Source organism: Homo sapiens, chromosome 3 (assembly GCF_000001405.40).
Source record: "Homo sapiens chromosome 3, GRCh38.p14 Primary Assembly".
NCBI classification, from domain to species: Eukaryota; Metazoa; Chordata; class Mammalia; order Primates; family Hominidae; genus Homo; species Homo sapiens.
The window spans coordinates 138,557,663-138,579,854 of NC_000003.12; the positions used below are offsets into that span (position 1 = coordinate 138,557,663).

Here is a 22,192-nt window from a genome sequence, read left to right on the forward strand (position 1 = left end):
AGGGTGAAAAGGGAGTGAGGAACAAAAGACTACAAATTGGGTTCAGTGTATACTGCTTGGTGCACCAAATCTCACAAATCACCACTAAAGTAATTATAAATGTAACCAAATACCACCTGTTACCCCAAAGCCTATGGAAATAAAAAATTTTTAAAAAAGAAATAAGACATAACAGATCAAGCCCACAAAGAACATCCAATATTAGAGTTATCAGACACAGACAATTTTAAAACTATGCTTCTATGCTTAAGGAAATAAAAGAGAACTCCTGTTCTGTAAATAATAGACTAGGTAATTCAGACCAATTATCTTACTGAGAAAAACTTTAAAAAGATGATCAAAAAATTTTTAAATCTGTTTGAAAGTGCTAACAAGGAAATGAAAATTACAGGACCATGATTCTGGAGAAAAAAGAAAACTGGCCAGGCACAGTGGCTCATGCCTGTAATCCCAGCACTTTGCGAGGCCGAGGCAGGCGGATTGCCTGAGGTCAGGAGTTCGAGACTAGCCTGGCCAACATGGTGAAACCCTGTTTCCACTAAAAATACAAAAATTAACTGGGCGTGCTGGTGCACACCTGTAATTCCAGCTACTCAGGAGGCTGAAGTGGGCAAATCATGTGAACCTGGGAGGTGGAGGTTGCAGTGAGCTGAGATCACACCACTGCACTCCAGGCTGAGAGACAGAGCAAGACTCCGTCTCAAAAAAGAAAAGAAAAAGGAAACTCAAAGTAGCAAGTCTAGCTTTTGGAGCTACATTTCCCACAAGTGTGTTTTCAGACACCTGAAAAGGTGTCAGAAGCTAAGAAGGTGACCAAAGATATTTTTTCTTATGCCTGCCAGGGATATGAAACAAAAATTAGACACAAAGGCCTAACAAAGAAGGGAAGGTCCTAGGAAACTTCTCACACTACACCCTAGGAATAATGATGAACTAGAAATACACTAGTTTTCTTTGGGACTGAGGTATATTTCAAACCATCACAATCTCTAAAGCTGGATTAAGATGATCCCAGATTACTAGTACACCTAGATGTCTACCAGAAGCAATCATGATTACCTCTAGGGTAAAATAACACCACAGTAGATCTCAACTTATTTCTACAACTGTTCCTATACAAAGCTCAGCACTCAGTAAAAAACAACCAGGCACACCAGGAGTAAAAACAGCATAAAAGGAAACCTACAAAAACAGCAGGCTATAAAAAGTAATCCACTGAGAACCAGAGAGTCAAATTATCAGACATGCTGACTTCTAAAAATTGAGGTGAAGTTCACATAACATAAAATTAACCATTTTAAAGTGAGCAATTCAGTAGCATTTAGGACATTCACAATATTATGCAAACACCACCTCTATCTTGTTCCCAAAATCAGACACAGATTTTAAAATAAGTAAATTTAATATATTCAGAGACACAAAACAGATAATTTCAGCAGAAAGCTGGAAACCAAAGCAAAGACACTAGAAATTCTAAAACTAAAAAATACAATAACCGAAAGAAAATATCCAGAATAAAGTATCAAAAGACAAAAGGAAGAAACATAAAGAATAAACATGAAAGACATAGGGTAGTCAATGATAAATACTAATGGAATTGGACTCCTGGGCAAATTGAAAAGAGAAAATGAGGCAGAAACAATATTTGAAGACATAATAGCTAAGAATGTACCCAAACTGATGAAAGACATCAAGCTACACGCTCAAGAAATGCTGCAAAATCAAAGGAAGATAAATCAAAAGAAAACTCGCCTAGGCACAAAGTAAAAATGCTTTAAAACAAAAACAAGCTGAGCCTGGTGGCTCACGCCTGTAATCCCTGCACTTTGGGCAGCCAGGGCCAGCAGATCACTTGAGGCCAGGAGTTCAAGACCAGCCTGGCCAACCTGGTGAAACCCCATCTCTACTAAACATACAAAAATTAGCTGGGTGCACACCTGTAATCCCAGCTACTCAGGTGACTGAGGTGGGAGGATCACTTGATCCCAGGAGGCGGAGGGTGCAGTGAGCCAAGCTTGTGCCACTGCACTCTAGCCTGGGCAACAGAGCAAGACTCTATACCAAAAACAAAAAACAAACAAACAAAAACAAGGAGAAAAATATTAAAGGTAGTCAGAGATATTATAAATTGCCTTCAAAGGAACAGCAAATAGATTGACAATTGAATTCTCAGCAGAAACAATGAATCCAAGAGACAATGGAATATTTTCAAATGCTGAAAGTAACTACCAACTTATAATTCTATACCCAGTGAAAATATTCATCAAAATTAAGGTGACAAATACCAAGTGTTGATGAGGACATAAAGAAACTAGAATTCTCATACATTGGTCAGAATGTGAAATGATAGAGCTACTCTGAAAAAGTCTGACAGTTTCTTAAAAACTTAAATGTGAGGATTGCTGCCAAGATGGCTGAATAGGAACAGCTCCAGTCTGCAGCTCCCCAGCGAGATCGATGCAGAAGGCGGGTGATTTCTGCGTTTCCAACTGAGGTACCGTGTTCATCTAATTGGGATTGGTTGGACAGTGGGTACAGCCCACAGAGGGCAAACCGAAGGAGGGTGGGGTGTTGCCTCACCCAGGAAACACAAGGGGTTAGAGAACTTGCTCTACTAGCCAAGAGAAGCTGGGAGGGACTGTGCCGTGAGGAACAGTGCACTCTAGCCCAGATACTGCGCTTTTCCCATGGTCTTCACAACCTGCAGACCGGAAGATTCCCTCCAGTGTCTATGCCACCAGGGCCCTGGGTTTCAATCACAAAACTGGGCGGCCATTTGGACAGATACTGAGCTAGGTGCAGGAGTTTTTGTTTTTTTTTTTTCATACCCCAGTGGCACCTGGAATGCCAGTGAGACAGAACCGTTTGCTCCCCTGGAAAGGGGACTGAAGCCAGGGAGCCAAGAGGTCTGGGTAGGCAGGTCCCACCCCCATGGAGCCCAGCAAGCTAAGATATGCTGGCTTGAAATTCTCACTGCCAGCGCAGCAGTCTGAGGTCAACCTGGGACACTTGAGCTTGGTGGGGTGAGGGGCGTCCACCACTGCTGAGGCTTGAGTAGCAGTTTTACTCACAGTATAAACAAAGCCGCCCAGAAGTTCGAACTAGATGGAGCGCACCACAGCTCAGCAAGGCTGCTGTGGCCAGACTGCCTCTCTAGATTCCTCCTCTCTGGGTAGGGCACCTCTGAAAAAAAGGCAGCAGCCCCAGTCAGGGGCTTAGAGATAAAACCCCCATCTCCCTGGGACAGAGCACCTGGGGGAAGGGGCAGATGTGGGCACAGCGTCAGCAGACTTAAACGTCCTGGCCTGACGGCTCTGAAGAGAGCAGCAGATCTCCTAGCACGTTCGAGCAGCAGATCTCAGAGCGTTCGAGCTCTGCTAAAGGTCAAACTAACTCCTCAAGTGGATCACTGAACTCCGTGTCTCCTGATTGGGAGACACCTCCCAGTAGGAGCCAACAGACACCTCATACAGGAGAGCTCCAGCTGGCATCTGGCAGGTGCTCCTCTGGGATGAATCTTCCAGAGGAAGGAACAGACAGCAATCTTTGCTGTTCTGCAACCTCTGCTGGTGATACCCAGGCAAACGGGGTCTGGAGTGGGCCTCCAGCAAACTCCAGCAGACCTGCAGCAGAGGGGCCTGACTGTTAGAAGGAAAACTAACAAACAGAAAGGAGTAGCATCAACATCAGCAAAAAGGATGTCCACTCAGAGACCCCATCATAAGGTCATCAATATCAGAGACAAAAGGTAGATAAATCTACGAAGATGGGGAGAAACCAGCACAAAAAGGTTGAAAATTCCAAAAACCAGAACGCCTCTTCTCTGAAGGATCACAACTCCTCACCACCAAGGAAACAAAACTGGATGGAGAATGAGTCTGACGAACTGACAGAAGTAGGCTTCAGAAGGTGGGTAATAACAAATTCCTCTGAGCTAAAGGAGCATGTTCTAACCCAATGCAAGGAAGCTAAGAACCTTGAAAAAAGGTTAGACAAATTGCTAACTAGAATAACCGGTTTAGAGAAGAACATAAATAACCTGATGGAGCTGAAAAACACAGCATAAGAACTTCATGAAGCTGGCCGGGTGCGGTGGCTCACCCCTGTAATCCCAGCACTTTGGGAGTTCAAGGCGGGTGGATCACAAGGTCAGGAGATCAAGAAATCCTGGCTAACACAGTGAAACCCCGTCTGTACTAAAAATACAAAAAATTAGCTGGGCATGGTGGCAGGCACCTGTAGTCCCAGCTATTGGGAGGCTGAGGCAGGAGAATGGCGTGAACCTGGGAGATGGAGCTTGCAGTGAGCCGAGATTGTGCCACTGCACTCTGGCCCGGGCGACAATGCAAGACGCCGTCTCAAAAAAAAAAAAAAAAGAAGAACTTCGTGAAGCATACACAAGTATCAGTAGCCGAACTGATCAAGCAGAAGAAAGGATATCAGAGATTGAAGATCAACTTAATGAAATAAAGCGAGAAAACAAGATTAGAGAAAAAAGAATGAAAAGGAATGAACAAAGCCTCCAAGAAATATGCGACTATGTGAAAAGACCAAATCTACGTTTGATTATTGTACCTGAAAGTGACGGGGAGAAAGGAACCAAGTTGGAAAACACTCTTTAGGATACTATCCAGTAGAACTTCCCTAACCTAGCAATATTATAGGCCAACATTCAAGTTCAGAAAAAAACAGAGAACACCACAAAGATACTCCTTGAGAAGAGCAACCCCAAGACACGTGATTGTCAGATTCACCAAGGTTGAAATGAAGGAAAAAATGTTAAGGGCAGCCAGAGAAAAAGGTTGGGGTTACCCACAAAGGGAAGCCCATCAGACTAACACCAGATCTCTCTCCAGAAACCCTACAAGCCAGAGGAGAGTGGGGGCCAATATTCAACATTCTTAAAAAATATTCAACCCAGAATTTCATATCTAGCCAAACTAAGCTTCATAAGTGAAGGAGAAATAAAATCCTTTACAGACAAACAAATGCTGAGCAATTTTGTCACCACCAGGCCTGCCTTACAAGAGCTCCTGAAGGAAGCACTAAACATGGAAAGGAACAACCAGTACCAGCCACCGCAAAATCATACCAAACTGTAAAGACCATCGACACTATGAAGAAACTGCAGCAACTAACAGGCAAAATAACCAGCTGCCATCATAATTACAGGATCAAATTCACACATAACAATATTAACCTTAAATGTAAACGGCTAAATGCCCCACTTAAAAGACACAGATTGGCAAATTAGATAGAGTCAAGACCCATCAGTGTGCTGTATTCAGGAGACCCATCTCACTTGCAAAGATGCACATGGGCTCAAAATAAAGGGACGGAGGAATATTTACCAAGTAAATGGAAAGCAAAAAAAAAAAGCAGGGGTTGCAATCCTAGTCTCTGATAAAACAGACTTTAAACCAACAAAGATCAAAAGAGACAAGGGCATTGCATAATGGTAAAGGGATCAGTGCAACAAGAGCTAACTATCCTAAATATATATGCACCCAATACAGGAGCACCCAGATTCATAAAGTAAAGTTCTTAGAGACCTACAAAGAGACTCAGACTCCCACAAAATAATAGTGGGAGACTTTAACACCCCACTATCAATATTAGACAGATCAATGAGACAGATAATTAACAAGGATATTTAGGACTTGAACTCAGCTCTGGACCATGCAGACCTAATAGATATCTACAGAACTCTCCACCCCAAATCAACAGAATATACATTCTCAGCACCACATCACACTTATTCTAAAATTGACTACATAATTAGAAGTAAAACACTCCTCAGCAAATGCAAAAGAACAGAAATCATAACAAACAGTCTCTCAGACCACAGTGCAATCAACTTAGAACTAAGGATTAAGAAACTCACTCAAAACCACTCAACTACATGGAAACTGAACAACCTGCCTTTGAATGACTACTGGGTAAACAACGAAATGAAAGCAGAAATAAAGATGTTCTTTGAAACCAATGAGAACAAAGACACAATGTACCAGAATCTCTGGGACACATTTAAAGCAGTGTGTAGAGGGAAATTTATAACACTAAGTGCCCACAAGAGAAAGCAGGAAAGATCTAAAATCGACACCTAAAATCACAATTAAAAGAACTAGAGAAGCAAGAGCAAACAAACTCAAAAACTAGCAGAAGTCAAGGAATAACTAAGATTACAGCAGAAATGAAGGAGCTAGAGACACAAAAAACTCTTCAAAAAAATCAATGAATCCAGGAGCTGGTCTTTTGAAAAGATCAACAAAATGGATAGACCACTAGCCAGACTAATAAAGAAGAAAAGAGAGAAGAATCAAATAGATGCAATAAAAAATGATAAAGGGGATATCCCCACTGATCCCACAGAAATACAAACTGCCATCAGAGAATACTATAAACATGTCTATGCAAATAAACTAGAAAATCTAGAAGAAATTGATAAATTCCTGGACACATACACCCTCCCAAGTCTAAACCAGGAAGAAGTCAAATCCCTAAATAGACCAATAACAAGTTCTGAAATTGAGGCAGTAATTAATAGCCTACCAACCAAAAAAAGTCCAGGACCAGATGGATTCACAGTGAATTCTACCAGATGTACAAAGAGGAGCTGGTACCTTTCCTTCTGAAACTATTCCAATCAATAGAAGATAAGGGAATCCTTCCTAACTCATTTTCTGAGGCCAACATCATCCTGATACCAAAACCTGGCAGAGACACAACAAAAACAGAAAATTTCAGGCCAATAACCCTGATGAACATCGATGTGAAAATCCTCAATAAAATACTGGCAAACCAAATCCAGCAGCACATCAAAAACCGTATCCACCACGATCAAGTTGGCTTCATCTCTGGGATGCAAGGCTGGTTTGACACATGCAAATCAATAAATGTAATCCATCATGTAAACAGAACCAAAGACAAAAACCACATGATTATCTCAATAGATGCAGAAAAGGACTTCGACAAAATTCAACAGCCCTTCTTGCTAAAAACTCTCAATAAACTGGGGATTGATCGAACGTATCTCAAAATAATAAGAGCTAATTATGACAACCCACACCCAATATCATACTGAATGGGCAAAAACCAGAAGCACTCCCTTTGAAAACCAGCACAAAACAAAGATGCCCTCTCTCACCACTCCTATTCAACATAGTATTGGAAGTTCTGGCCAGGGCAATCAGGCAAGAGAAAGAAATAAAGGGTATTCAAATAGGAAAAGAGGAAGTCAAATTGTCTCTGTTTGCAGATGACATGATTGTATATTTAGAAAACCCCATTGTCTCAGCCCAAAATCTCCTTAAGCTGATAAGCAACTTCAGCAAAGTCTCAGGATACAAAATCAATGTGAAAAAATCACAAGCATTCCTATACACCAATAATAGACAAACAGGGCCAAATCATGAGTGAACTCCCATTCACAATTGCTACTAGGAGAATTAAATACCTAGCAATACAACTTACAAGAGATGTAAAGGACCTTTTCAAGGAGAACTACAAACTACTGCTCAAGGAAATAAGAGAGGACACAAACAAATGGAAAAACATTCCATGCTCATAGATAGGAAGAATCAATATTGTGAAAATGGCCATATTGCCCAAAGTAATTTATAGATTCAATGCTATCCCCATCAAGCTACCACTGACTTTCTTCACAGAATTGGAAAAAAACTAGTTTAAAGTTCATATGGAACCAAAAAAGAGCCTGCATAGCCAAGATAATTCTAAGCAAAAAGCTGGAGGCAACACACTACCTGACTTCAAACTATGGTACAAGGCTATATAACCAAAACAGCATGGTAAGGGTACCAAAACAGATATATAGATCAATGGGACAGAACAGAGGCCACAGAAATGACACCACACATCTACAACCATCTGATCTTTGACAAACCTGACAAAAACAAGAAATGGGGAAAGGATTCCCTATTTAATAAATGGTGCTGGGAAAACTGGCTAGCCATATGCAGAAAACTGAAACTGGACCCCTTTCTTACACCTTATACAAAAATTAACTCAAGATGGAATAAACACTTAAACCATAAAATCCCTAGAAGAAAACCTAGGCAATACCACTGAGGACACAGGAATGGGCTAAGACTTCATGACTAAAACACCAAAAGCAATGGCAACAAAAGCCAAATAGACAAGTGGGATCTAATTAAACTAAAGAGCTTCTGCACAGCAAAAGAAACTACCATCAGAGTGAACAGGCAACCTACAGAATGGGGGAAAATTTTTGCAATCTACCCATCTGACAAAGGGCTAATATCCAGAATCTACAAAGAATTTACACAAATTTACAAGAAAAAAAACAAACAACCCCATCAAAAAGTGGGTGAAGGATATGAACAGACACTTGTCAAAAGAAGACATTTATGTGGCCAACAAACATATGAAAAAAAGCTCATTATCACTGGTCATTAGAGAAATGCAAATCAAAATCACAATGAGATACCATCTCATGCCATTTAGAATGGCGATCATTAAAAAGTCAGAAAATAACAGATGCCGGAGAGGATGTGGAGAAATAGGAACACTTTTACACTGTTGGTGGGGGTGTAAATTAGTTCAACCATTGTGGAAGACAGTGTGGTGATTCCTCAAGGATCTAGAACCAGAAGAAATATCATTTGACCCAGCACTCCCATTACTGGGTATATACCCAAAGGATTATAAATAATTCTACTATAAAGACACATGCACACGTTTATTGCAGCACTATTCATGACAGCAAAAACTTGGAACTAACTCAAATGCCCATCAATGATAGACTGGATAAAGAAAATGTGGCACATATACATCACGGAATACTATGCAGCCATGAAAAGGAGGAGTGCATGTCCTTTGAATCTGGAAACCATTATTCTGAGCAAACTAACACAAGAATGGAAAACCAAACACTGCACATTCTCACTTATAAGTGGGAGCTGAACAATGAGAACACATGGACACAGCAAGGGGAACATCACACACTGGGGCCTGTCAGGGGCTTGGGGGCTAGGGGAGGGATAGCATTAGGAGAAATACCTAATGTAGATGACGGGTTGATGAGTGCAGCAAACCACCATGGCACGTGTATACCTATGCAACAAACCTGCATGTTCTGCACATGTACCCCAGAACTTAAAGTATATATATATATATAAAAAAAAAACTTAAATGTATACTTACCATATGACTCAGGAATTCTAATTCTAGGTATCTACCCAAGAAAACTGAAAGCATATGTCCACACAAATATTTGAACATACAGTTTACAAGAGCTTTCTTTGTAATAGCCAAAAACTAGAAACTAAAATGTCCATCAACAGATGAATGGATAAACAAACTGTGATATATCTATACAATGGAGTACTTCTCAGCAATAAAAAGGAATAAACTATGGATATGTGCAACTACATGGGTGAATCCTGAAATAATGCTGAATGAAAAAAACTGAATATCAATTATATTAATAGCCCATGCCAACTGAATTGTCTTTTCCCAAAAGTCTTTCAATATACCTCAAACATTTGCAAATTTCCTTGACCTCTTTGCATATACATACAAAACCAATGTTTCCTTTCTCCCAACTACCAAACATGCAGCACTAAACCATTCTAAAATTGGAAACAACTGTATACCAAAAATAGAAGAATGTGTCTTAAACTATGAAATAATTATTCTCCACAGGCACTTTCATCTTCTCAAGAAAGCAAAGATTGATTAGTATGGTGAAGAATAGAAGAAGCTGACACCTCAAAACATGCCACTTTGGCATAAGGATTATTCTGAGTTGAAGGCAACTAAGATGATAACACAAGAAAAGCTCTCTTCCCTTCCTTTATTAGCCTAAAGGAGGACATAAATCTGTATAGAAATTTATCCAGTGACAACCCTGGATCCTTATTAGCCCAGAGGTGGCACTAGAGGACTCTACATAACCAAGTTTACTGACTAGCCCTTATCTGTCATTAGTCCTTAATATATTTACCTTCCCACAATTTGCTTCCCTAGAGACTCAAAGTCCTTTTCCTTTGTCTTGCCACTTCTCTGCAAATTTATTGGGGGTGGCTGTTGTTAAGATGCTATGGAAGTCCAAGTTCTAGCAACCTCTTTAAGCCCAACATCCATGGGTTTCTCCCATGTATATATGATATAAACATATTCATAAACTTGTTTGTTTTTCACTTGTTAGTTTTTTGTTACAGAGTCCTGACTGAGAATCTGAAAGGGTAGAAGTAAAAATATTTTTTCCTTCTCTATAATAGAATGAGATGTTTGACTAGTATGTAATAGAAATGAGGCAACCTAGCAACATTCAGGGGCGGCAATTCCTTGGGTTTGCTGATTTCTGTTTACACTCTATAAAATACCCATCAGAGACTTAAAAAAACAAACAGCCAATTTCAGTTGATCATATTGGCACAGATAGCCTTCCCCAACCCCAGGTATCCACTCCTCAATCATATTTGCCTTTCCCCTTCTATGGGTGACTGAAGCATGAAACCTCCTCTGTACCAATTTATAAGCTACACGACAAATCTTTGGGACCTGGAACAAAGAGCTAAAGGCACGATAAATCATTTATGACAGATGAAACTATTTGATAGAAAATACATGGCATTACATTCAAGTCACCCCTTATCAATGAACTCTCATGTATCTGTTCTTTGAAGTGCTTAAAACCCTGGTAAATTTGTAAGCTTTGTATTTCTAATAATTTAATTTGTTATTAATTACATCTCAACCTGTCTGAAAGATAAATAGATATCTTCCCCCAACAAAGACCACTGGTCTTCCTGCTCTCAACTTGTTCACTCAGCCAAAGACCTGGCACAGCACCTTTACAGCTTCTGATGGCTGCTTTTTCACACCAATAAGTCAATGATTTAAAGAGCTTCAGATTTCCACATGCCCTATATCTAAGAGCAAGGTCAAAACCAATGCATATAGAAAGTATTTCCAAAATACCCCTCCATTTAGAGAGATTTTATAAATATACTATTGATGAGGAAAGCAACCTTGTTAACAAAGCCAACCTAGGCCGGGCGCAGTGGCTCACACCTATAATCTCAGCACTTTGGGAGGCTGAGGCGGGTGGATCACGAAGTCAGGAGTTCAAGACCAGCCTAGCCAAGATAGTGAAACCCCATCTCTACTAAAATACAAACAATTAGCCGGGCGTGGTGGTGCATGCCTGTAGTCCCAGCTACTTGGGAGGCTGAGGCAGGAGAATCGCTTCAACCCGGGAGGCAGAGGTTGCAGTGAGCCTAGATCACACCACTGCACACCACATCAGCCTGGGAAACAGAGTGAGACTCTGTCTAAAAAAACAAACAAAAAAAAAACACAAAAAAAAACAAAGCCAACCTAAAAATTTAGCATTCTAATGGTAGAGGAGTTTGTCAAACAATGTCTTCTCTGAAACTATGGTCAATACCAGCAGCTCTACTACTGCCTGCCCCAAGCTGGCACATAAACAAGGTCAGAGCACCAACTGCCTCTGTCCTCATACTAGAGCCCCCTAGTATCTCTGATTAATTCTCTCGGACTCCATGGAATTTATACTAACTCATCTGATCCTTCCAATACTGCCAGCACACACTGAGGGGACTTCCAGACCCTGCCTGATGAATACTGCTCCCTTTTAGATAGCCTGAACTCACATATGCAAACGTATATATAGTGTTGTGTCAGCAAAACCACTAAAATAAGGACTCAATGTTTATAATGACATAATGTTAGTAAAGATCAGAAACAACTCATACAACTAAACATTAGTTACCAGCATAAGATTCATTTCTTTTAATCACAATAAACACCCAAGTTTTAATAGTTTTTTAAAATTAGGGAGTTAATTATTTAATGTTATAAAATTGCCATTTCTATAAAAAGAACTCAGTTTTAGACATAAAAAGTTGTAGATGCCAGCCAGGTGCAGTGCCCCACACCTGTAATCCCAGCACTTTGGGAGGCCGAGGCAGGCGGATCACTTGAGCTCAGGAGTTTGAGACCAGCCTAGGTAACATGGCAAAAGCCTGTCTCTATAAAAAATATAAAAATTAGCCAGGCGTGGTGGCATGCGCCTGTAGTCCCAGCTACTCCAGAGGCTGAGGTGGAAGGATCACTTGAGTGCAGGAGGCAGAGGTTGCACTGGGCTGTGATTGCGCCACTGCACTCCAACCTGGGTGACAGAGCCAGACGCTGTCTCAAAAAAGTAAACAAATAAACAAACAAAGTTGTAGATGCCTATTAGATATCCAGTAGAGATATCAAGTAGGCAGCTGGATATGAGTCTGGAATTCGGGGAGAGGACTGGGCTACGGATATAAATTTTGGATCCTATGTTAGATTGACATCACCAAGGGCATCAGAGTATGTAAGAAAGAGAAAAGATCTAAGGACTGAGCACTGGGGAATTCCAACACTAAGAGGTTAGGGAGATGAGAAAAAAAAACAGCAAAAGAAATTAGAGAATGATCAGTGAGGTCAGAGGGAAATAAAGGACATTCTAGAAACCAAGTGAAGAGAATTTCAAGGTAGCAGTGATAAGCCAAAAAAGGTAAAAACCACTGAATCAAACAACATGGAAGTCACCTGGGACCATAATGAGCTGTTTTAGTACTAACTAACCATCATCTAAGAATTCATAACTCAGTACCTGTAAAGTTTTCTGCTCCTTTTGAAGATCTTTTATTTTATTCTGTTGGTGGCAAGCCCTACTTAGTGATTCATCCTCCAATTCACCAATTTTGGATTTCACACTTTCCATAATTTGTTCCAAGTCATTAGCTCGTTGTTCTTGATTGGCTGCTCGGCTTTGCTCTAGCTGAAGTTCATTTCTAAGTTAATAGACATACAATTTCTTCCCTTAGTATTAAAAATAAATCGAATTACCAAGCATATCCATATAAGAATGTATTGCCTTTCTAAAGTTTCTTTGCATTCTCTTTATCCAAAATGCTTGGAACCAGAAGTGATTCATATTTCAGATTTTTTCAGATTTTGGAATATTTGCATCATACTTACTAGTTAAGCATCTCAAATCTGAAAATCCAAAATCCAAAATGCTCCAATAAGCATTTCCTTTAAGCATCATGTTGGTGCTCAAAAAGTTTCAATTTTTGGAGCCTTTCAGATTTTCAGATTTGAGATGCTCATCCTGCAACAGAAACTAATAGAAGAAATATAGGGTACCATTAAACATCTATGCTAAGCTATTACCAAAAGATTTACCTATTAAAATTTTACCTACAAAAATATTTTTTAGTTTAATATTTAATCAAAATGGGAAATTAAATTTCAAGATTTTTTTCAAGGCAGTTATTTTTAGAACGCATACAAACAATTCAAAAGAAATCTTTTCCATTTTCTCACCTAAGCTGTTGATTAGTTTCTATAAGCTCCTGTATCATGTTCTGTTGACATGATGTTTCTTCCACCAACAATTTCAAATTCTGTCTCATCCTTTGTGATGACTGTTTGTCAAAAATGATGAGATCTACATTTAAAAAGTATATAATACAGATAGTAAAAATAAAAGGCAAAAAAAATTTTTTAAGGAAAAATAAACTTTTTACCTTAAGCATCAAGAATAGGATCTAATTACCTTTGAGATCTGTTCTTTTGACTAGAGACAAAGGTTTTAAGCCATGCATCATCAATAGCACATTTATGCTTTCCCATTCTGCTTCTTCCTGCTACAATTACAGAAAGAGAAGAAAGGGTTAACTTTAGATATAAAGTGAAGAAATTCTCTCATATATAATTTCCTGCATTTTCAGAATAGAACTTTTTCTTCAAAAGTTTTAAGTATAAATGTTTATGCATATATAATATCCAAAAAACACATTTATTGTTTCTAGCAAAATTAGTAATAGACTAGAAGTATGTAAATAAGCACAAATTGTTGCATTATACAGAATACTCATATGTAGGCCTCAATGGACAAAACCAACAACAACAACAAAAACACCTTGTAATTTCAGTGAATCAAATAAATCTAAGGTTTTAGATTTAACTAAGCCAAACCAAGCCCTGCTCAGAATAAACAGCTGTAAACTAGGCTATAATAACTGGATAGTAAAGAAAAGAAAAGGTGAGTCACTTCTAAGTATCACTTTCTTTTTTCTTTCTTTTTGAGACAGAGTCTTGCTCTGTCACCTAGGCTGGAGTGCAGCGGTACGATCTCGGCTCACTGCAAGCTCTGCCTCCCAGGTTCACACCATTCTCCTGCCTCAGCCTCCCGAGTAGCTGGGACTACAGGCGCCCGCCACCACGCCCGGCTAATTTTTTGTATTTTTAGTAGAGATGGGGTTTCACCGTGTTAGCCAGGTTGGTCTGGATCTCCTGACCTGGTGATCCACCCGCCCTGGCCTCCCAAAGTGCTGAGATTACAGGCGTGAGCCACCGCCCCAGCCCCTAAGTATCACTTTCATAATGACTAGGGTCACAAAAAAATCAAAACATACCTGACTAGTTGGAGCCAATATTTCAGACAGCTCCTTGTCAAATGGACAAGGTCTAACTATAAAAAGGAGCCCGTCCATCTGGATAACTGACTCTAACAGAATCACCCTGAAAGACACTCTCAAAGTCAAACAAGTCTTTCTTTTTGACTGTTGACTTCTTCCTCCTTTTTTTTACATCTCCTCCCACTCATAACTTTTCTCTCATTTATGCTTTAGTCTTTCTGATCACAGAGTTTAACTACGTGGTAGACACAACTAAAATTAACATTGATGTTGTTTTAGGAGCCAAAAGCTCTGAGTTAGTGTCTCAGAACTTCTACTGTAACTCATAAAAACAAAATGCTCTATACATAATAAAGTCACATATTTTGAATGATTAACTTATACATATTGTTTCCTGATACCTCTTACATTTTAAGATAAAGTAATTGTAAATTCTGAAAATAGTTGGGAATGGCATTTTCCAAAGTACATGCTACAGAACACTAGTCTAATGAAATGTTCATCAAACTAGTGTTAAGTATGTATGAAATGCTGTATACTAAATCCTCCCTTTGGAGACTAATATTGTGAAGTCTTAGAGTAATTAAACCATTTCATAGTCTTTAACCCAGCATTTCCTAAAATTATTTGAGAAAGAATCCTTTTAAAGTCAAATTTTCCTGTTTGTAGATGTAGCATTCTTTGGCACATATTTTGAGAAGCAGTGTCTTAAAATATTTTAAGTTTACCTGTTTTTCAGTCATGAGTCTGTCTGATGGTTGACTGGAATCCTGGGGTTTAGGGGCTACCGGAAACATAGTTACTTTTGTAGAATCAAAAGAAACAGAAATTGGCAATTAAAAAATTTGAGTTGCCTAAATGAAAAAAGACAAAAAGTGCAAAAGGAGTTAAAGAAAAGTATATTTAAAAGAATCCACTACTCTTGCAGGGCAATTCAGGTCATTCCTGCGTCAAAACTTTGTGACTTCTTAGATAGCTGATTGTAAGACTCATTTGAATAAACCCTATCTTATAATGTTCTCCTCTGGAAATAAAGCATTCTGGGATTTTACACATATACCACACACACACATACACTCTGTCCTGTCTAACCCCCCACCACAGAATGCATAACTGGTACCCAAGAACAGAGGAAAGAATGGAGTAGAAGGAGCATTTGAAGAGCTAATGGCTAAGAAAAATTTGAGAATCAATGAAAGACATAAATCCACACATTCTAGAAACCCAACATATTGCAACTGGGATACAGTAAAAAAAAAAAAGAAAAAAGAAAAAAAAAGTCAGTCATACCTAGACACTAATATCTTCAATGTGCTGAAAGAAAATAATTGCTTATCTAAAATTCCAAAGCCAGTGAAAACATTCATTAACGAATAATAAAGGCAAAAGTAATATATTTTCAAACACATGACACAAAATAAATCTGAGAGTGTTCATTGCATCTGCTCTGTAAAAAAATTCTAAAGAAGCTGCTTCATGCAGAAGACTCCCTGATGGAAAAGCAGAGATGTAGAAAAAAATAGAGCAAAAAAATGGGCGAGTTTAAACACAGACTACATAATGAGATCTTGTGAAGTATAAAATGTACAATTAAAATGCACAGTAACAGAAATATATTAGCTGAGAGTAGGGTAAATGGAGTAACAGTGTTCTAAGTTTGTTTACAATGGAGGTGGACACTGGTAAAGGTATCTGTTAACACTGGGCTTTTGTATAAGTTAAGGATGCTTGAGAATTTCTAGGACATCCACTGAAGAACTGAACAGAAGTATATAATTTTCTAACTAGTAAAGGGGAAAAACAAGACTATAATGATGCATTTTTAAAAATAAACCCAAGGGCATCCAAGATGGCCAAATATGAAAGGCTTCAGTCTGCAGCTCCCAGTGTGACTGATGCAGAAGACAGGTGATTTCTGCGTTTCCAACTGAGGTACCTGGTTCATCTCGTTGGGACTGGTTGGACAGTGGGTGCAGCCCACAAAGGGCGAGCCGAAGCAGGGTGGGGCATTGCCTCACCCAGGAAGTGCAAGAGTAGGGAGATTACCCATTCCTAGCCAAAGGAAGCCGTGACAGACTGTACCAGGAAAATCCAGACACTGCTACCCAAACACTGCGCTTTTCCAATGGTCTCAGCAAGTGGCACACCAGGAGATTATATCCCATGCCTGGCTCAGTGGGTCCCATGCCCATGGAGCCTTGCTCACTGCTAGCGCAGCAGTCCAAGATTGAACTGCAAGGTGGCAGCCTGGCTGAGGGAGGGGCATCTGCCATTGCTGAGGCTTGAGTAGGTAAACAAAGCGGCAGGAAAGCTTGAACTGGGTAGAGCCCACCGCAGCTCAAAGAGGCCTGCCTGCCTCTGTAGACTCCACCTCTGGGGGCAGGGCATAGCTGAACAAAAGGCAGCAGAAACTTCTGCAGACTTAAATGTCCCTGTCTGACAGCTCTGAAGACAGCAGTGGTTCTCCCAGCATGGTGTTTGAGCTCTGAGAACGGACAGACTGCCTACTCAAGTGGGTCCCTGACCTCCGTGTAGCCTAACTGGGAGACACCTCCCAGTAGGGCCCGACTGACACCTCATACAGCCAGGTGCCCCTCTGAGATGAAGATTTCAGAGGAAAGATCAGGCAGCAATATTTGCTGTTCTGCAGCCTCTGCTGGCGATACCCAGGCAAACAGGGTCTGGAGTGGACCTCCAGCAAACTCCCACAGACCTGCAGCTGAGGGACCTAACTGTTAGAAGGAAAACTAACAAACAGAAAGGAAAAGCATCAACATTAACAAAAAGGACATCCACACCAAAACCCTATCTGTAGGTCACCATCATCAAAGACCAAAGGAAGATAAAACTACAAAGATGGGGAGAAACCAGAGCAGAAAAGCTGAAAATTCCAAAAATCAAAGCGCCTCTTCTCCTCCAAAGGATCGCAGCTCCTCACTAGCAACAGAACAAAGCTGGATGGAGAATGACTTTGACGAGTTGACAGAAGTAGGCTTCAGAAGGTCGGTAATAACAAACTTCTCCAAGCTAAAGGAGGATGTTCAAACCCATCACAAGGAAGCTAAAAACCTTGAAAAAAGATTAGATGAATAGCTTACTAGAATAAACAGTGTAAAGAAGACCTTAAATGACCGGATGGAGCTGAAAACCATGGCACGAGAACTATGTGACACATGCACAAGCTTCAGTAGCTGATTTGATCAAGTGGCAGAAAGGGTATCAGTGATTGAAGATCAAATTAATGAAATGAAGCGAGAAGAGAAGTTTAGAGAAAAAAGTAAAAAGGAATGAACAAAGCCTCCAAGAAATATGGGACTATGTGAAAAGACCAAATCTATGTCTGTTTGGTGTACCCAAAAGTGATGGGGGGAATGGAACCAAGCTGGAAAACACTCCTCAGGATATTATCCAGGAGAACTTCCCCAACCTAGCAAGACAGGCCAACATTCAAATTCAGGAAATACAGAGAACACCACAAAGATACTCCTCGAGAAGAGCAACCCTAGGACACATAAGTGTCAGATTCACCAAGGTTGAAATGAAGGAAAAAATGTTAAGGGCAGCCAGAGAGAAAGCTCGGGTTACCCACAAAGGGAAGCCCATCAGACTAACAGCAGATCTCTTGGCCGAAACCCTACAAGCCAGAAGAGAGTGGGGGCCAATATTCAACATTCTTAAAGAAAAGAATTTTCAGTCCAGAATTTCATATCCAGCCAAACTAAGCTTCATAAATGAAGGAGAAATAAAATCCTTTACAGACAAGCAAATGCAAAGAGATTGTGTCACCACCAGGCCTGCCTTACAAGAGCTCCTGAAGGAAGCACTAAACATGGAAAGGAACAACCAGTACCAGCCACTGCAAAAACATGCCAAATTGTAAAGACCATCAATGCTAGGAAGAAATTGCATCAACTAATGGGCAAAATAACCAACTAACATCATAATGACAGGATCAGATTCACACATAACAATATTAACCTTAAATGTAAATGGGCTAAATGCCCCAATTAAAAGACACAGACTGGCAAATCGGATAAAGAGTCAAGACCCATCAGTGTGCTGTATTCAGGAGACCCATCTCATGTGCAGAGACACACATAGGCTCAAAATAAAGGGATGGAGGAAGATCTACCAAGCAAATGGAAAGCAAAAAAAAGCAGGGGTTGCAATCCTAGTCTCTGATAAAACAGACTTTAAACCAGCAAAGATCAAAAGAGATAAAGAAGACCATTACATAATGGTAAAGGGATCAATTCAACAAGAAGAGCTAACTATCCTAAATATACACGCACCCAATACAGGAGCACCCAGATTCATAAAGCAAGTCCTTAGAGACCTACAAAGAGACTTAGACTCCCACACAATAATAATAGGAGACTTTAACACCCTACTGTCAATATGAGACAGATCAACAAGACAGAAGGTTAACAAGGATATCCAGGACTTGAACTCAGCTCTGCACCAAGCAGACCTAATAGACATCTACAGAACTCTCCACCCCAAATCAATAGAATATACATTCTTCTCAGCACCACATCACACTTATTCAAAAATTGACCACTTAGTTGGAAGTAAAGCACTCCTCAGCAAATGTAAAACAACAGAAATCACAACAAACTGTCTCTCAGACCACAGTGCAGTCAAATTAGAACTCAGGATTAAGAAACTCACTCAAAACCGCACAACTACATGGAAACTGAACAACCTGCTCCTGAATGACTACTGTGTAAATAACAAAATGAAGGCAGAAATAAAGATGTTCTTTGAAACCAATGAGAACAAAGACACAACATACCAGAATCTTGGAACCAACCCAAATGTCCATCAATGATAGACTGGATTAAGAAAATGTGGCACATATACACCATGGAATACTATGCAGCCATTAAAAAGAATGAGTTCATGTCCTTTGTAGGGACATGGATAAAGCTGGAAACCATCATTCTGAGCAAACTATCGCAAGGATAGAAAACCAAACACTGCATGTTCTCACTCATAGGTGGGAACTGAACAATGAGAACACTTGGACACAGGAAGGGGAACATCACACACCAGGGCCTGTCGTGGGGTGGGGGGATGGGGGAGGGATAGCATTAGGAGAAGTACCTAATGTAAACGACGAGTTAATGGGTGCAGCACACCAACATGGCACATGTATACATATGTAACAAACCTGCACGCTGTCATGTACTCTAGAACTTAAAGTATAATAAATACATAAATAAATAAACCCAAGGGTCAGGCACAATGGCTCATGCCTCTAATCCCAGCACTTTGGGAGGCCAAGGCGGGCAGATCACGAAGTCAGGAGATCAAGACTAGCCTGGCCAACATGGCAAAACCCCATCTTTACTAAAAATATAAAAAATTAGCCGGGTGTGGTGGCTCATGCCTGTAATCCCAGCTACTTGAGAGGCTGAGACAGGAGAATCACTTGAACCCAGGAGATGGAAGTTGCAGTGAGACGAGATGGTGCCACTGCACTCCAGCCTGGGTGACAGAGAGAGACTCTGCCTCGGAAAAAATAAAAAAATTTTTAAAAACCCAAAAGAAGAGAAACACAAGCAGACAAGAGGTAAAACAAAGAGAAAAGCACATGGTACTTGACAATATGGTAGATTTAAATCCATATCAGTAATTACATTAATCATGAATGGCTCCAGTTAAAAGAGACTGTCAAACTAGATTTTTAAAAATCAAGCTATATGCTGTTGAAGGGAAAAAAGACTTCTAAAACACTAAAAAGCCACTTAAAATAAAAACATTAAAGCAGTTAAAAGTAAGAGAATAAAGAAACAATTCTGGGAAGACGGCATGGCCACAGCCTAGTTTTTTCATCTCTGCATCCCACATTAAAACAGAAGCAACTAGAGAGCAAAGCTAAAAACCCAAAAGCAATAGCAGGTCTTCCCTATACATGGGGATTGGTTTCAGAACCACCTGCAAGTACCAAAATCCATGGATGCTCAAGTTCCTTCAATAAAATGGTGTAGTACCGTTGGCCCTCCTTATCTGCAGGTTTCAATCTGCAGTCGGTTGAATCTGTGGATACAAAACTGGCAGATATAGAGAGCTAACTATTTATATCAAAAGCTGGTGAAAAGTTATTCTCACGAACACTAAAATATAAGTGGGGGAGGGCAAACCACTAACGGCCATAAAAGCTGCATGGTACCAGCATCTGTGCTGGAAGAAAAAAAAGCTACAGGCAGTGTCTGATGGTTATGAGAATGAGAGAACTCCCTAATTCATTGGTATCGCTAATATTCACTATGGCACTAACATGAAACAGGAAGTGAAACCAGAAGGGGTTTTACCCTTTCCTAGAAGAAAAACAGAAGATGCTGGAACCCTGTGAACACTCAAAATGGACATGTTACATTTCCATGACAGAGCCCATGATGAGAAGAAACTTTTGGGAATAGAATCAAAACTGAGCAAGATAGGGATAAGAGAGAAGGGAAGATCCACACCAAAATAGGGAAGAAAATAGAAGCAGGAAGTCTCAGAAAACAAACTGCCATATTTTCAAACACTACACAAAAATATTAGAAGTCCAAGATGTTAGAAAAGCTTTCCTGAACTCTCAACCATTATAAAAGTTCAGAAAAACTAATTTTACATAAAAGTGAGCAAAGAAAAGCACTGAGGTCTAACCCCATCAAAAGTTAATATTGAAGGCGGAGCAAAATGACTGAACAGAAGCCTCCACCGATTGTCCTCCCAACAGGAACACCAAATTTAAGAACTATCTTTACAAAAAAGCACCTTCATAAGAGCCAAAAATCAGGTGAGCAATCACAGTAACTGGTTTTAACTTCATATGGCTGAAAGAGGCACCGAAGAGGGTAGGAAAGACATTTATAAATTGCCAATACCATTCTCCCCCAATCCCCCGGTAACGGCCAGCCATGTGGCGCAGAGAGAGAATCTGTGCACTTAGGGGAAGTAAAGTGCAGTGACTGTGGAACTTTGCATTGAAAGGCAGTACCAACAACACCAGGAAGAATTCAACCCACTGGAGGGATCATTTAGACCAGTCCTAGCCAGAGGGGAATCACCCATCCCAGTAGTCAGAACTTGAGTTTCAGCAAGCCTTGCCAACGTGAGTTAAAGTGCTCTGGGGTCCTAAATAAACTTGAAACACTATCTAGGCCACAAGGACTGCAACTCCAAGGCAAGTCCTAGTGCTATGCTGGGCTCAGAGCTAGTGCTCTTGAGGGGCATGTGACCTAGTGAGACAACAGCCAGGGCAACTAAAGGAGCATTTGCATCACCCCTCCCCCAACCCCAGGCAGCACAGCTTGCAGTTCCAAAAGTAAACCTTTCCTTCTGCTTGAGAAGACAAGAGGGAAGAGTAAAGAGGACTTTGTCTTGCAACTCGGATACCAGCTCAGTCACAGTAGGATAGGGCACTGAGCAGAGTTATGAGGCCCCCATTCCAGACCCTAGCTCCCAAACAACATTTCTAGACACATCCTTGGCCAGAAAGGAGCCCACTGCCTTGGAGGGAAGGACCCAGTCCTGGCAGGATTTATCATCTGCTGATTAAAGAGCCCTTGGGCACTGAATAATCAGCAGCAGGAACCAGGTAGTATATGCCATGGGCATTGGGTGAGACTCAGACATGCTGGCTTCAGCTGTGATCCAGCACATTCACAGCTGTGGTGGCTATGAGGACAGACCCCTTCTGCTTGAGAAAAGTAGACGGAAGAGTAAAGAAG

At 40.4% G+C, this 22,192-nt stretch overlaps 1 protein-coding gene across 23 annotated transcripts in view; it reads right to left on the minus strand.

Moving 5' to 3' along the window:
* CEP70 (centrosomal protein 70) overlaps window positions 1-22,192 on the minus strand; it is a 99,917-nt gene that overhangs the window by 63,319 nt on the left and 14,406 nt on the right. For 6 of the 23 annotated variants that reach the window (NM_001320598.2, XM_024453781.2, XM_024453780.2 and 3 more), the window contains 4 exons: window positions 15,197-15,322; window positions 13,604-13,694; window positions 13,372-13,495; window positions 12,656-12,836 (listed from right to left, as the gene is read on the minus strand). The exons of 4 other annotated variants lie outside the window; for them this stretch is intronic. In NM_001320598.2, the coding sequence (NP_001307527.1) occupies window positions 12,656-12,836; window positions 13,372-13,495; window positions 13,604-13,694; window positions 15,197-15,265 (465 nt within the window). In that variant the 5' untranslated portion in view covers window positions 15,266-15,322. Of the gene's footprint in view, window positions 1-12,655; window positions 12,865-13,371; window positions 13,496-13,603; window positions 13,695-15,196; window positions 15,323-22,192 lie in introns of those variants that run through there. 13 more of the 23 variants (NM_001288965.2, XM_047449020.1, XM_047449019.1 and 10 more) reach the window with 6 other exon arrangements.